The sequence below is a fragment of the Homo sapiens genome, chromosome 6, assembly GCF_000001405.40.
Source record: "Homo sapiens chromosome 6, GRCh38.p14 Primary Assembly".
In the NCBI taxonomy this organism is placed as follows: domain Eukaryota; kingdom Metazoa; phylum Chordata; class Mammalia; order Primates; family Hominidae; genus Homo; species Homo sapiens.
In genome coordinates this window covers 8397922-8411021 of record NC_000006.12, presented here as the reverse complement: position 1 = coordinate 8411021, position 13100 = coordinate 8397922, and the positions used below count along the sequence as shown (strand labels likewise).

Sequence of the window (13100 nt, the reverse complement as noted above, 5' to 3'; positions counted from 1 at the left end):
GTCTCCAGGAACTGAGAAATAAGTTTCTGTTGTCTTAGACCCCCAGCCCATGGTGCTTTCTTGTATCAGCCTGAGCAGCCCAAACTAAGACAATGCATGAGGAAGGGTTTCTAAGTAAAGAATTTGTGAGATATTTGATTGAGACATTAGTTAAATATAGGTAGATGTGTTTGTTTTAAGCAGTATGTAGCTAGAAACTGTTTCTTCAGCTGTATTTACATTAGGTGCCTGTCAGTAGGTACTCACTAAATACCTGTCATGCAAGACTAATCAAAGAACAAGCACCAGTAGAACAAAAATATTCTGGAGAAATGATGTTCTAAATTCTGCCATATTGTGTTTTATTTTATGGCATAATATTCAGTGCAACAACAACAACAACAACAACCAGTAGATCTAACTGGCCAGCTTCTGTGGATCACTATGTTAAGATTGGCCTAGAAGTAAGCCAGCCAAGCCAGAATTCTCAGTACAACCATGTTGCATAACAAGGAGTTTGGCTGACCATTGTCCCTGGTTCTTGGGAGGGATCCTATAAGTCCTTGGAATTTTCCAATTGATAGGAATGTGGTTATTCATGGTTGGTCCCTAGATAGTTTCAGGGTTGGGGCTGGCCATGCTGAGAAGTCTAAGGATGTGACCGTGGGGTTGGGGCTTTGAGCCATGTCATATCTGCCCAACATTCAGGGATGGAAGGGAAGCTGAAGATTAAGTTTAGTCACATGAACAATGATTTAATCAGTTAGTCCTATGGGCTACATGGTGAAACTCCAATAGAAACTGTACACTGAGGTTAGAAGAGCTTCCCTGGTTCATGACACACATGGGTGTTCCAGGACAGTGATGGTCCTCAGGACACAAAAACTTAGTGTTTGCAAGCCTCCCAGACCTTGCCCTATGGATCTCTTCTTTCGGCTGGTCCTGATTTGTATTCTTTATAATGAAATTGAAAGTACAATGCTTTCATGAGTTTTGTAAGGCATTCTCATGAATTGTTGAACCTGAAAGGATAATGAGAACCCTTGAATTTGCAGTCAATTTATCAGAAGAGTGAATGGCCTGGGAACCCCAAAGCTTGCAACTGCTCTCTGAAGTGAGGGCAGTCTCGTGGAGAGTGTGTCCTTCACCTGTGATGTGATGGTTAATACTGAGTGTCAACTTGATTGGATTGAAGGATGCAAAGTATTGATGCAGGGTGTGTCTGTGAGGGTGTTGCCAAAGGAGATTAACATTTAAATCAGTGGGCTGGGGTAGGCACACCCACCCTTAATCTGGTGGGCACCATCTAATCAGCCACCAGCAAATATAAAGCAGGCAGAGAAACGCACAAGACTGGCTGGCCTAGCCTCCCAGGAAAAGGTGAGACTGGCCTAGCCTCCCAGCCTACATCTTTCTCCCATGCTGGATGCTTCCCACCCTGGTACATCAGACTCCAGGTTCTAAAGTTTTGAGACTTGGACTTGCTCCTCAAGCTTGCAGACAGCCTATTGTGGGACCCTGTGTTCATGTAAGTTAATACTTAATAAACTCCCTAATATATATATATATATATTTCTATTAGTTCTTAATAGAAATATATGTATATTCTATTAGTTCTGTCCCTCTAGAGAACTGTGACTAATACAGATTTTGGTACCAGGAATGGTTCTAGAGGAATAGAATATTAAGGATGGAGTTCTTTCATTGGTTTTGGGGTTTCTGGGGTTGGCTGCTTAATATGATTAAACCCAAAAATGCTAAGGACTCTACTTCCAATAGTATGGAGAACACTGATAGTCCTTGTGGCCTGAACTGTTTAAAGAGTTATGCAAAATAAATGCATTTGACACTCCTGATTCACCACTCATGAGAGGCAAGGAGTTTAGTGACTCTATACATAATACCTTTGACCATATGTGGAGAACCAAGGAACATAATGAAGCTGGTTGATTACTCCTAAGTTCAGTGGACAAAGTAATGAAAGAAAATGATGAACTCAGGGACTGTGTCTCCTGGCTTCAGAAGCAGATACTGAGCCTCAAATCTGCTAAGATTGCACTGAGTCAGAGTCTTTCTCCTGTGGAGATAGAGCTGAAATTGTGGAAAAACAAACACAAGCTTTTATCATGTGACTGGCTGACCTGCAATGAAAAGTGCATGCACAGCTTTGCCAGGTGTCTACTGTTAAAGTGAGGCATTAATTGGAAAAGAATGGGATCCTGCAACTTGGAATGGAGATGTGTGGGAGGACCTTGATGAAGCTGGGAACACTGAGTTTGTAAACCCTGAGGAACCTTTTTTGCTACAAGGAATAGCTTCCCCATCCCCAGTAGCGGCAACATCTCCTCGCTGACCCAGGCTGCCATCAGTGTTTCCACCTTTGACTGAGGAAATAAGTCCTGCACTGCTTGAGGCAAACAGTGATGGCCTCCCTTGAGGCAGTTGCCAGGCAAAATAATGTTGATTCTCCTCTGGAGCCACCCCCAATACCCCTGTTTGCTTCTAGACCTATAACTAGAATAAAGTCCCAGCGGGCCCCTAGAGGTGAGGTTGAGAGTGTGACCCATGAGGAGGTGTGCTACACTCGAACTGTTTTGAGTTCTTTAATTTATATAAACAGAAATCTGGAGAACAGGCATGGGAATGGATATTAAAGGTATGGGAAAATGGTGGAAGGAACATAGAGTTGGATCAGGCTGAATTTATTGATTTGGGCCCACTAAGTAGGGACTCTGATTTTAATGTTGCAGCTTGGGGAGTTAAAAAAGGTTCTAGTAGTTTGTTTGCTTGGTTAGCTGAAATATGAATTAAAAGATGGCCCACTGTGAGCAAGTTGGAAATGCCTGATCTCCCTTGGTTTAATGTAGAGGAAGGGATCCAAAGGCTTAGAGAGTGTGGGATGGTAGAGTGGATTAGCCACTTTAGACCTACTCATCCCAGCTGGGAGGGTCCAGAAGATACACCCTTGACCAATGCCTTGCGAAATAGATTTGTGAGGGCAGCACCTGCATCTTTGAAGACCCCTGTAATTGCTCTTCTCTGTATGTCAGATCTGACACTGGGAACCGCAGTTACTCAACTACAAAATTTAAATACGATGAGAATAATTGGATCTCGAGGTGGCAGGGATCCGTAATGGACAGCAGAGACAAAGCAACAATCAGAATAGTCTGACTCATGTAGAGCTGTGGCATTGGCTAATTACGGTGTTCCTAGTAGTGAAATTGATAGGAAGCCTACTGCATTTCTAGTTAATTTATACAAGGAGAAAACTTCTAGATCGAATGGATAAAAGACTAATTTGAATTATAAAAACAGAGAATCACGGCCCCTCAATCAATTTCCAGACTTGAGCCAGTTTACAGACCTAGAACCCCTTGAATGAAGGGGAGGCCAGGCCCCCTTGAGGAAGGACCCCACTACATACCAACAATTTATGCAGTGAGTCTTTCTCCCATCCTTCCCCAAGGAGACCTCTGGCTTTTTACCAGGGTAACTGTGCACTGGGGAAAAGGAAATGATCAGACATTTCTGGGACTACTGGACACTGGCTCTGAGCTGATGTTGATTCCAGGGGGCCCAAAACGTCATTGTGGTCCTCCAGTTAAAAGTAGGAGCTTATGGAGATCAGGTAATTAATGGAGTTTTATAAAGCTCAACTCTGACAGTGGGTCCAGTGGGTCCCCGGACTCATCCTTTGGTCATTTCGCCAGTGCCAGAATGCATAATTGGCATAGACATACTTAGCAGCTGGCAGAACCCTCACATTGGCTCCCTGACTGGTAAGGTGAGGGCTCTTATGGTGGGAAAGGCCAAATGTAAGCCATTAGAGCTGCCTTAACCTAGAAAATTAGTAAATCAAAAACAATGTCGCATCCCCGGAGGGATTGCAGAGATTAGTGCCACCATCAAGGACTTGAAAGATTCAGGAGTGGTGATTCCCACCACATCCCCATTCAAATCTCCCATTTGGCATTTGCAGAAGATAGATGAATCTTGGAGAATGACAGTGGATTATCGCAAGCTTAACCACGTGGTGACTCCAATTGCAGCTGCTGTACCAGATGTGGTTTCATTGCTTGAACAAATTAACACATCTCCTGGTACCTGGTATGCAGCCATTGACTTGGCAAATGCCTTTTTCTCCATTCCTGTCCGTAAGGCTCACCAGAAACAATTTGCTTCAGCTGGCAAGGCCAGCAATATACCTTTACTGTCCTACCTCGGGGTATATCAATTCTCAGGCTTTGTGTCAGAATCTTATTTGGAGAGACCTTGATTGCTTTTTGCTTCCGCAAGATATCACACATGTCCATTACATTGATGGCATTATGCTGATTGGATCCAGTGAGCAAGAAGTAACAAACACACTGGACTTATTGATGAAACATTTGCATGCCAGAGGATGTGAAATAAATCCAACTAAAATTCAGGGACCTTCTACTTCAGTCAAATTTCTAGGGGTCCAGTGGTGTGGGGCCTGTGGAGATATTCCTTCTAAGGTGAAGGATAAGTTGCTGCATTTCCACCCCCCCACACTCCCCAACCAAGAAAGAGGCACAGGTCCTAGCAGGTGTATTTGGATTTTGGAGGCAACACATTCCTCATTTGGGTGTGTTAGTCTGGCCCATTTATCGAGTGACCCAAAAGGCTGCCAGTTTTTAGTGGGGTCTAGAACAGGAGAAGGCTCTGCAACAGGTCCAAGCTGCTGTGCGAGCTACTGTGCCACTTGGGCCACATGACCCAGCAGATCCAATGGTGCTTGAGATGTCAGTGGCAGACAGGGATGCTGTTTGGAGCCTTTGGCAGGCTCCCATGGGTGAATCACAGCAGAGGCCTCTAGGAACAAGGCCCTGCCATCTTCTGCAGATGACTACTCTCCTTTTGAGAGACAGCTCTTGGCCTGTTACAGGGCTTTGGTGGAAACTGAATGTTTGACTATGAGTCATCAAGTCACCATGCGACCTGAACTGCCTATCAAGAACTGGGTGCTTTCTGACCCATCTAGCCATAGAGCAGGTCGTGTACAGCAGTATTCCATCATCAAATTGAAGTGGTATATATGTGATTGGATTTGAGCAGGTCCTGAAGGCACGAGGAAGTGGCTCAAATGCCCATGGTCTCCACTCCTGCCACCCTGCCTTCCCTCCTCCAGCCTGCATCGATGGCCTCATGGGGAGTTTCCTATGATCAGTTGACAGAGGAAGAAAAGACTAGGGTCTGGTTCACAGATGGTTCTGCAGAATATGCAGGCACCACCCAAAAGTGAACAGCGGCAGCACTACAGCCCCTTTCTAGGACGTCCCTGAAGGACAGTGGTGAAGGAAAAATCTTCCCAGTGGGCAGAACTTCTAGCAATGCACCTGGTTGTGCACTTTGCATGGAAGGAAAAATGGCCAGATGTAGGATTATATACTGATTCATGGGCTGTAGCCAACCGTTTGGCTGGATGGTCAGGGACTTGGAAGAAGCATGATTGGAAAATTGGTGACAAAGAAATTTGGGGAAGAAGTATGTGGAGGGACTTCTCTGAATGGTCAAAAACTGTGAAGATATTTGTATCCTATGTGAGTTCTCACCAACAGGTGACCTCAGTGGAGGAGGAATTTAATAATCAAGTGGATAGGATGACCCGTTCTGTGGACACCACTCAGCCTCTTTCCCCAGCCTCCCCTGTCATCATGAACAAAGTGGCCACGGTGACAGGGATGGAGGTTACTCAGGGGCTCAGCAACATGGACTTCCACTCACCAAGGCTGACCTTTCTATGGCCACTGCTGAGTCCCAAATTTGCCAGCAGCAGAGACCAACACTGAACCCTAGATATGACACCATTTCTCAGAGTGATCAGCCAGCTACCTGGTGGCAGGTTGATTATATTGACCCCTTCCATCATGGAAAGGGCACAGGTTTGTCCTCACTGGAATAGACATTTACTCTGGATATGGGTTTGCCTATCCTTCACGTAATGCTTCTGCCAAGACTACCATCCGTGGACTCATGGAATGCCTTTCCACTGTCATGGTATTCCACCCATCACTGCCTCTGACCAAGGCACTCACTTTACAGCTAAAGGAGTGTGGCAGTGGGCTCATGCTCATGGAATTCACTGGTCTTACCATGTTGCCCATCTTCCTGAAGCAGATGGATTGATAGAAGGTGGAATGACCTTTTGAAGTCACAATTACAACACTAACTAGGTGACAATACTTTGCAGGTCTGGGGCAAAGTTCTCCAGAAGTCTGTGTATGCTCTGAATCAGTATCCAATATATGGTACTGTTTCTCCCATAGCCAGGATTCATGGGTCCAGGAATCAAGGGATGGAAGTGGAAGTGGCACCACTCACCATCACCCCTAGTGATCCACTAGCAAAATTTTTGCTTCCTGTTCCGGCGACATTACGTTCTGCTGGCCTAAAGTTCTTAGTACCAGAGGGAGGAATGCTGCCACCAGGAGACACAACAACGATCCATTAAACTGGAAGTTAAGATTGCCACCTGGACACTTTGGGCTCCTTCTACCTTTAAGTCAATAGGCTAAGAAGGGACTTACAGTGTTGGCTGGGGTGATTGACCCGGACTATCAAGATGAAATCAGTCTATTACTCCATAAGAGAGGTAAGGAAGAGTATGCATGGAATACAGGAGATCGGTGCCTCTTAGTATTACCATCCCCTGTGATTAAAGTCAATGGGAAACTACAACAGCCCAAGCCAGGCAGGACTACAAATGGTCCAGACCCCTCGGGAATGAAGATTTGGGTGACTTCACCAGGAGAAAAGCCACAATCTGCTGAGGTGCTTGCTGAAGGCAAAAGGAATACAGAATGGGTAGTAGAAGGTAGTCACCAATACCAGCTACGACCACATGACCAGCTACAGAAACGAGGACTGTAACTGTCATGAATATTTCCTCCTCCTTTTGTTAAAAACATGTTTATGCATGTATACACTTGTACTAAGAAAATATCTTCATTTTATTTCCTTTTCCTTTATCATGTGATGTAAGATTATTGACTTCATATCAGCATTTAAGTATTGTTAACTTTATGCAATAGTATTTGGGTTGGGGATTGGTGCATTTCCAGTTGTATGAAGGATAGTTGTATTATGTTAGGCATAATTATGACATTATTGTCTTTATTTGAAGATTATGTATGATCTCAGGAGATGTGTATGGGTTCAAGTTGACAAGGGGTAGACTTGTGATGGTTAATACTGAGTGTCAACTTGATTGGATTGAATGATGCAAAGTATTGATCCTGTGTGTGTCTGTGAAGGTGCTGCCAAAGGAGATTAACATTTGAGTCAGTGGGCTGGGGAAGGAAGACCCACCCTCAATCTAGTGGGTACCATCTAATCAGCTGCCAGCAAATATAAAACAGGGAGAAAAATGTGCAGGACTGCCCTAGCCTCCCAGAAAAACGCGAGACTGACCTAGCCTCCCAGCCTACATCTTTCTCCCATGCTCTCCTGCCCTGGAACATCAGACTCCAAGTTCTTCACTTTTGGAACTTGGACTGTCTCTCTTTGCTCCTCAGCCTGCAGACAGCCTTTTGTGGGACCTTGTGATCATGTAAGTTAATACTTAATAAACTCCCCTTTTCATATATATATAATATATAAATATATATTATACATAAATATATATAATATACTCATATATATAATATACATATATATTTTATATATATATATATATATATATATATATATATATATATATATATATATATCCTATTAGTTCTGTCCCTCTGAGAGCCCTGAGTAATACATGTGACATTTGACCTAACTCTGGGTAGTTAGGATCAGAATTGTACTGCAGGCATTATGCTTGTTAGCTATCATTAAAGAACTATTAGCATTGTCTGAACTGTTATCAAATGCTTTTAGTTTTCCCAAGTGTTTTTTACCTTAAACCTACTTTATATTCTAGATTTTGAACCCACTTTACATTCTAGATTCTTATTTGATCAGTAAGCCTAAAATTTTAGTAAAACTTGACCAGTAATGGGCCAGTAATGTGGCTTAGCACACTGCAAATATGTATGCATTACAAAATCACATTTACTCTTATATACATAGTTGCAAACACTAGTTTCCATGTCCTTATGATGCATCACCCTCCTGGTACATCCATGTGTTCAAGCCAGGGAAGCTCTCCCAAGTCTTGGTATATGGTTTTTATTGGAGTTTCACTATACAGCCCATAGGATTGATTAAATCAGTGGCCATGTGACTGAACTTTATCTTCAGCTGTCCTTCCTTCCCCAGAGGTTGGGTTGGTATTGCATGGCTCAAAGTCCCAAACCTCATGGCTCAAAGTCCCAAACCTCATGGCTCAAAGTCCCAAGCCTACGGTCACATCATTAGTCTTTCCAGCATGGCCAGCCCCAACTCTAAAACTAATTACATGGTTATCAAATCATCAGGTTATACATTGTGACACTCAAAACCTTTGCTGTGTGTTTTCTTCCTGATTAAACACTTGATAAGTTTTCTGTATTATGTGTTTGAGCAAAAATATTTTACATTTTCACTTATTCTGCTTTATTGTCCCTATTGACTGTCCCTATACTTGCCCATTGAACCAGCTGTCTTAACATTTGTAAACAGCTAATGTAGCCTCACTGATATGACTGCTCTATTTTTACTATAATGTCATTTATTCATTCATCTTCACTGGGCCAAATATGAGCCAGGCATTATACTAGATGCTGAGGATGCAAAAAGAATAAACTATAACCCGTACTCTTGAAAAACTTCCAATCTATGGAAGATTTGCTATGATTGTTATATAAAAACACATCACATTAACCCTAAGTTTTCAGAATATTTCGCCATGGTGGTAGTACTTCTAAAACCTCAGTGTGCACATGTACCACCTAAGGATCTAGTTTTTTAAAAAGAAAAAACAAAGGATTTGAATTCAATAGGGTTGGGTGGGGCATGAGATTTTGTTCTAACATACTTCCAAGTGATGCTAATGTTGCTGGTCCATGGACCATACCTGGAGTGTCTAGGGTGTAGCATACAAACTTTCAGAAGTTTTCAATATCAGGACATCTGAAATTATCAGAATAATTTTCACCCAAGTTTGTTCCATTTGCTTTTCAAACTTCACATTCTCGGTGGCCTGCCCTAGCAAACTGAACAGCAATCTTATGTTGGAGAGTTGCTGGCATAAGCAGAAAGAGTTTTTTAATCATTGTAGGTGTTTGAAAGATTTAATATTCATGACTTTCTCTATAAATGTTACCTTTTTAAAAATCTTCATGAAAGTAAGATAAACCTGTAATTCTCTTCCAGTCATGGTCTGTTGTTTTAATTTCATGGCATGTAGTTAAGATAGTTTTTATGCTATTTTGTAGTGACATTATGAAGAAAATGTTCACATCAATGATTTACTGCTGTTTCAGAATGAACTGTGAATTACAGGGGTTTAGGGAAGTAGGTCTTAACACTTAAGGGATTCTTCTGAGTCTAATCACAAAAATGTGTTTTATTAAATATCTTAATCCTATGATAACCCCCCACATTTCTAAAACATAATTAGACCATTTTAATCAGTTTTTACACAATTGATAAGATTTAAATAGATAAGTAAAGAAATGTGGATAATTTTTCACTATAGAAAATAATAGCAATAAGACTTTGGAGTCTGATTATTCTAGATCTCATTATAGGGCTCTTCCCCAATTATTTTTCTCCTAGTACCAGTTACAGTGACAGAAATAAAAAGCAGATCAATTAAAATGTTTATTGTGTTTCATTTCTGACTCAACAGTGTATAAGCACTTAGGAATTGGTTGGGGCACTTAGGAATTGATTTTTTTCATACATTCCAAAATTCAATGATAGATAGACCTCAATTGTAATTGTTTAGAATAATTTTTGTATATAAACCAGAGACATTTCATAAACACAGGTAATCATCTTTTTCTCTAGTTTCTAACTATATTTTAATTGATGATGTTGGTCTACAATATCTGTGTTAAGCACCACAGAATCATAAAATCTCAGGACTGTTTGGATGCTTGGCCACCTTTCTTTAAATCAAAGAAGACATTTGAAATGTCTGCTCTTAAGAAGGTTTGATCTAACAGGGTGAGGCTGGGGGAATTTACTGTAAGATGTGTATGAACCATAGCTAGTTTGAATCATCCATAGCCAGTTTGAGTCATAGAGATGTCCATCTCTAAACAACTGGAGTTATGCTGGATTCAGGAGAAGCATAGAACCAGGTGTGCGGCTGCACTGTTTACATAGGTGATTGATTAGGCCTAACTAGGTCCATGGCTAGGGCACCAGTAAGAGTGTAGATTCACAGGCTGATAGTCCCACACTGAATTAAGAGATTTATTGTTTTAAATGTCCTAGCTATTTGGTAAATTCTGCAAGCTAATCTTACTAACATACACTTTATTTGTTCAGTTATTTCTTAGCAGTTTGCCATTCTCATAAAACTGAAGCGTGGGTAGTGATTTTTTTTTTCATAATTCTAAGGGGTTATCTGTTAACACAGTTTCTAGGAATATCTAATAGTTTGATTATTTTTTCTCCTCCACCTCTGGGACTCCTATACATGTTGGCAGTTCTACTTTCATCTACATATCCCTAAGCTATTCTCTTATGGTTTCCATCTCTGCTGTTTCTTGCTGCTTCTGAGAGAGTTTCTCAGTCTGGGCTTTCAGTGTACTAATTTGTTCATCTGTTCAACCTGCTGTTTATCTCCTTTGTCATGGTCGTGTTTTTTATATTTCAACCCTTATGTATTCAGACCTAATATTTCTACCTGGATTTTTAAAACGATTTATTGGTTTTGCTTTATGCTACCAGTATTGTTCCTAATTGTGTTATTTTTTATCATGGTTATTTTAAATTCTTGGACTCTCTTCTAATCATTCTGTTTTCAATGGTAGATATTTTTCAGTTGTCTTTTTTTTTTTTAACAGTAATTACACACTTTAGCATAGCCATTGGCAGTTTCTCTCCAAGCCTTCTCACTGCCTTCTGCACCTTGCTGCCTTCTGTGTTTCTAGTCTATAACTCCAAGATTAAAACAGCCTCAGTCTCCCCAGAACATCTCACTTTTGGTATTGTTTTGTTTTTTCCTAGAATTCACATCTGTCTGTCTGAATCAGTATGTCTGTCTTCCTCTCTCTCTCTCTCTCTCTCACTGTCTCTCACCCTCTCTCCTATCCTTTCTCCCTACCACGCCACCCTCCCCCATCTCCTAGTTCCTCTAGGATTGTTTTTGGAAGAAACCAGCAGCCTATCCTAGCTCACCATCTTGACAGGAGCCAAAACTCATTAAAAGAGAATTTCTCCCAACTCTTTGTCTTAGTGATTTATACTACTAATGATTCTCAGATTTGCCTTTCTAATACAAATGAAAACTTGCTGGCCGCTATCTTGATGCAATCTATTTCAGAAATATTGGTTCATTTACCAGTTTTAATTGGTAAAATTCAAATTTTGGAAGTAAGATTTGTAATGTTTTATTACAAATCTAATTACTAATTTAAATGTAATTTTGAAATATTTTACTAACTTAAATATAGATTTCAAATCTTCTAGGAGAAGACTAACAGAAATATAAAACAGAATTCAGTCCTAAAATATGTCTCATATTATGGCTAATTAGGTAAGATTGTTTTTAATACATAGGCATAATTGTTTGTGATAGGAAAACTTCACCATAAAGCTTTGATTATTTGAGATGGTACCAATTAGTATACTTTGTAAAATTTCCTAATTTTGCTATTGTCTAATGCATATCATTTGTACAAAGTGATTTGAAACAGGCAGGGAAGCAGTAGTTTGTATTTTGAAGACATGGAAACAGACCTCAAGAAGACAAGTGATGTACCCAAGGTTCACACATAGTAAATGGCATAATGCACCTAAATCGGTTTCTTTGACTCTGATGCCTAGCTGATAACCCACCACTCCTCAACTCCTGCTCTTTCCAGCCACAACAGCACCAGGTTAGGACTGGCATCCTCTCCAGCTGTTTGTGTCCTCTCAAAATCCTGACACTGCCTTCCTTCTCAGGACCATGTAAAGGGAGCAAGACTTTTTCCAAGGAAGGACTTTTGTGGACACTCCTGCTGTCATACTTACTAACCCACCTAAGAAGATTAGCATCTTGAACCAGGCTTTAAGAGAATGCACAGAGGTGAAAGAAGAAGGGATTTCCTGCCTGACATCCCCAGTCAGCCAAATCGACCTGTGCTTGAGTGAGATGGCCTATATAGGTAGACACTTCAAGTCATCTACCAGCAGGTAATGGGACTCAACCATAAAGAGAGGTGTTGAAACGGGGCAACTGGGAGTAAGGGATAGAATCCAAGGACCAGTCAGGATTTTACGTTGAATTAAAGTGAGATACTTTGTAAAGCAGCCAAGGCAAATGTAGTCAAGACAGAGAGGACATCACTGGAAGTACAAGGCAAGACAGAAGCTTAATCTTGGGGAAAAAAAATAGAGTGTAGGCGTCAAAGTCAGAGAAGAAGCAAAGGGAATCTGGCTTGCTTAGCTGTGAACTCCTAGGTCATTTTGTCTCTCTTAGCAAGAGATCCAGTTGGGACTACAGATGGTCCCCAATTCACTGTGGTTCAACTTTTGATTTCTTGGCTTAATGATCAAGAATGTGTGAAAGCAACATACATTCTGTAGAAACTGCACTTCGAGTACCCATACAACCATTCTATTTTCACTTTCAGTACAGTATTCAATAAATTACACTGACTATTTAACACCTTATTATAAAATAGACTTTGTGCTATATGACTTTGCCCAACTGTAGACTAATGCAAGTATCTAAGCACGTTTATGGCAGGCTGGGCTAAGCTATGATGTTCCGTAGGTCAGTTGCAGTAAGTGCATTTTCAAATTAGGATATTTTCAACTTATGATGGGTTTATAAGGATGTAACCTGTCATAATTCGAGGAACACCTATAAACTTAAAGCTGGAGCAGGGATTAAAAATAATTAACACTGGAAATTTTTAAAATATGGGATCTAAGTGCCAGATCAGAAGTTGTACTTAAGGATTTTATGTGCCTCTCCTGTGTTAGCTGGAAATGTCACCACAATAAGAAAGAGGAGACTCTAG

At 41.0% G+C, this 13100-nt stretch overlaps 6 annotated features.

Annotated features, from left to right (window-relative positions):
• Positions 3112 to 3281: an enhancer, noted in NCBI's record as "experimental_96077 CRE fragment used in MPRA reporter constructs". NCBI's record gives its function as "activates a minimal promoter by MPRAs in K562 erythroleukemia cells, with activity observed for both the introgressed and non-introgressed 6:8408059 or rs6905245 variant alleles {active_cell/tissue: K562}" and the evidence as "EXISTENCE:reporter gene assay evidence [ECO:0000049][PMID:34662402]".
• Position 3196: a transcriptional cis regulatory region, noted in NCBI's record as "Neanderthal adaptively introgressed variant 6:8408059 (GRCh37/hg19 assembly coordinates) or rs6905245 in the experimental_96077 CRE". NCBI's record gives its function as "modulates activity of the experimental_96077 enhancer by MPRAs in K562 erythroleukemia cells {active_cell/tissue: K562}" and the evidence as "EXISTENCE:reporter gene assay evidence [ECO:0000049][PMID:34662402]".
• Positions 4458 to 4627: an enhancer, noted in NCBI's record as "experimental_96073 CRE fragment used in MPRA reporter constructs". NCBI's record gives its function as "activates a minimal promoter by MPRAs in K562 erythroleukemia cells, with activity observed for both the introgressed and non-introgressed 6:8406713 variant alleles {active_cell/tissue: K562}" and the evidence as "EXISTENCE:reporter gene assay evidence [ECO:0000049][PMID:34662402]".
• Positions 5724 to 5893: an enhancer, noted in NCBI's record as "experimental_96069 CRE fragment used in MPRA reporter constructs". NCBI's record gives its function as "activates a minimal promoter by MPRAs in K562 erythroleukemia cells, with activity observed for both the introgressed and non-introgressed 6:8405447 variant alleles {active_cell/tissue: K562}" and the evidence as "EXISTENCE:reporter gene assay evidence [ECO:0000049][PMID:34662402]".
• Positions 6414 to 6583: an enhancer, noted in NCBI's record as "experimental_96067 CRE fragment used in MPRA reporter constructs". NCBI's record gives its function as "activates a minimal promoter by MPRAs in K562 erythroleukemia cells, with activity observed for both the introgressed and non-introgressed 6:8404757 or rs4959486 variant alleles {active_cell/tissue: K562}" and the evidence as "EXISTENCE:reporter gene assay evidence [ECO:0000049][PMID:34662402]".
• Position 6498: a transcriptional cis regulatory region, noted in NCBI's record as "Neanderthal adaptively introgressed variant 6:8404757 (GRCh37/hg19 assembly coordinates) or rs4959486 in the experimental_96067 CRE". NCBI's record gives its function as "modulates activity of the experimental_96067 enhancer by MPRAs in K562 erythroleukemia cells {active_cell/tissue: K562}" and the evidence as "EXISTENCE:reporter gene assay evidence [ECO:0000049][PMID:34662402]".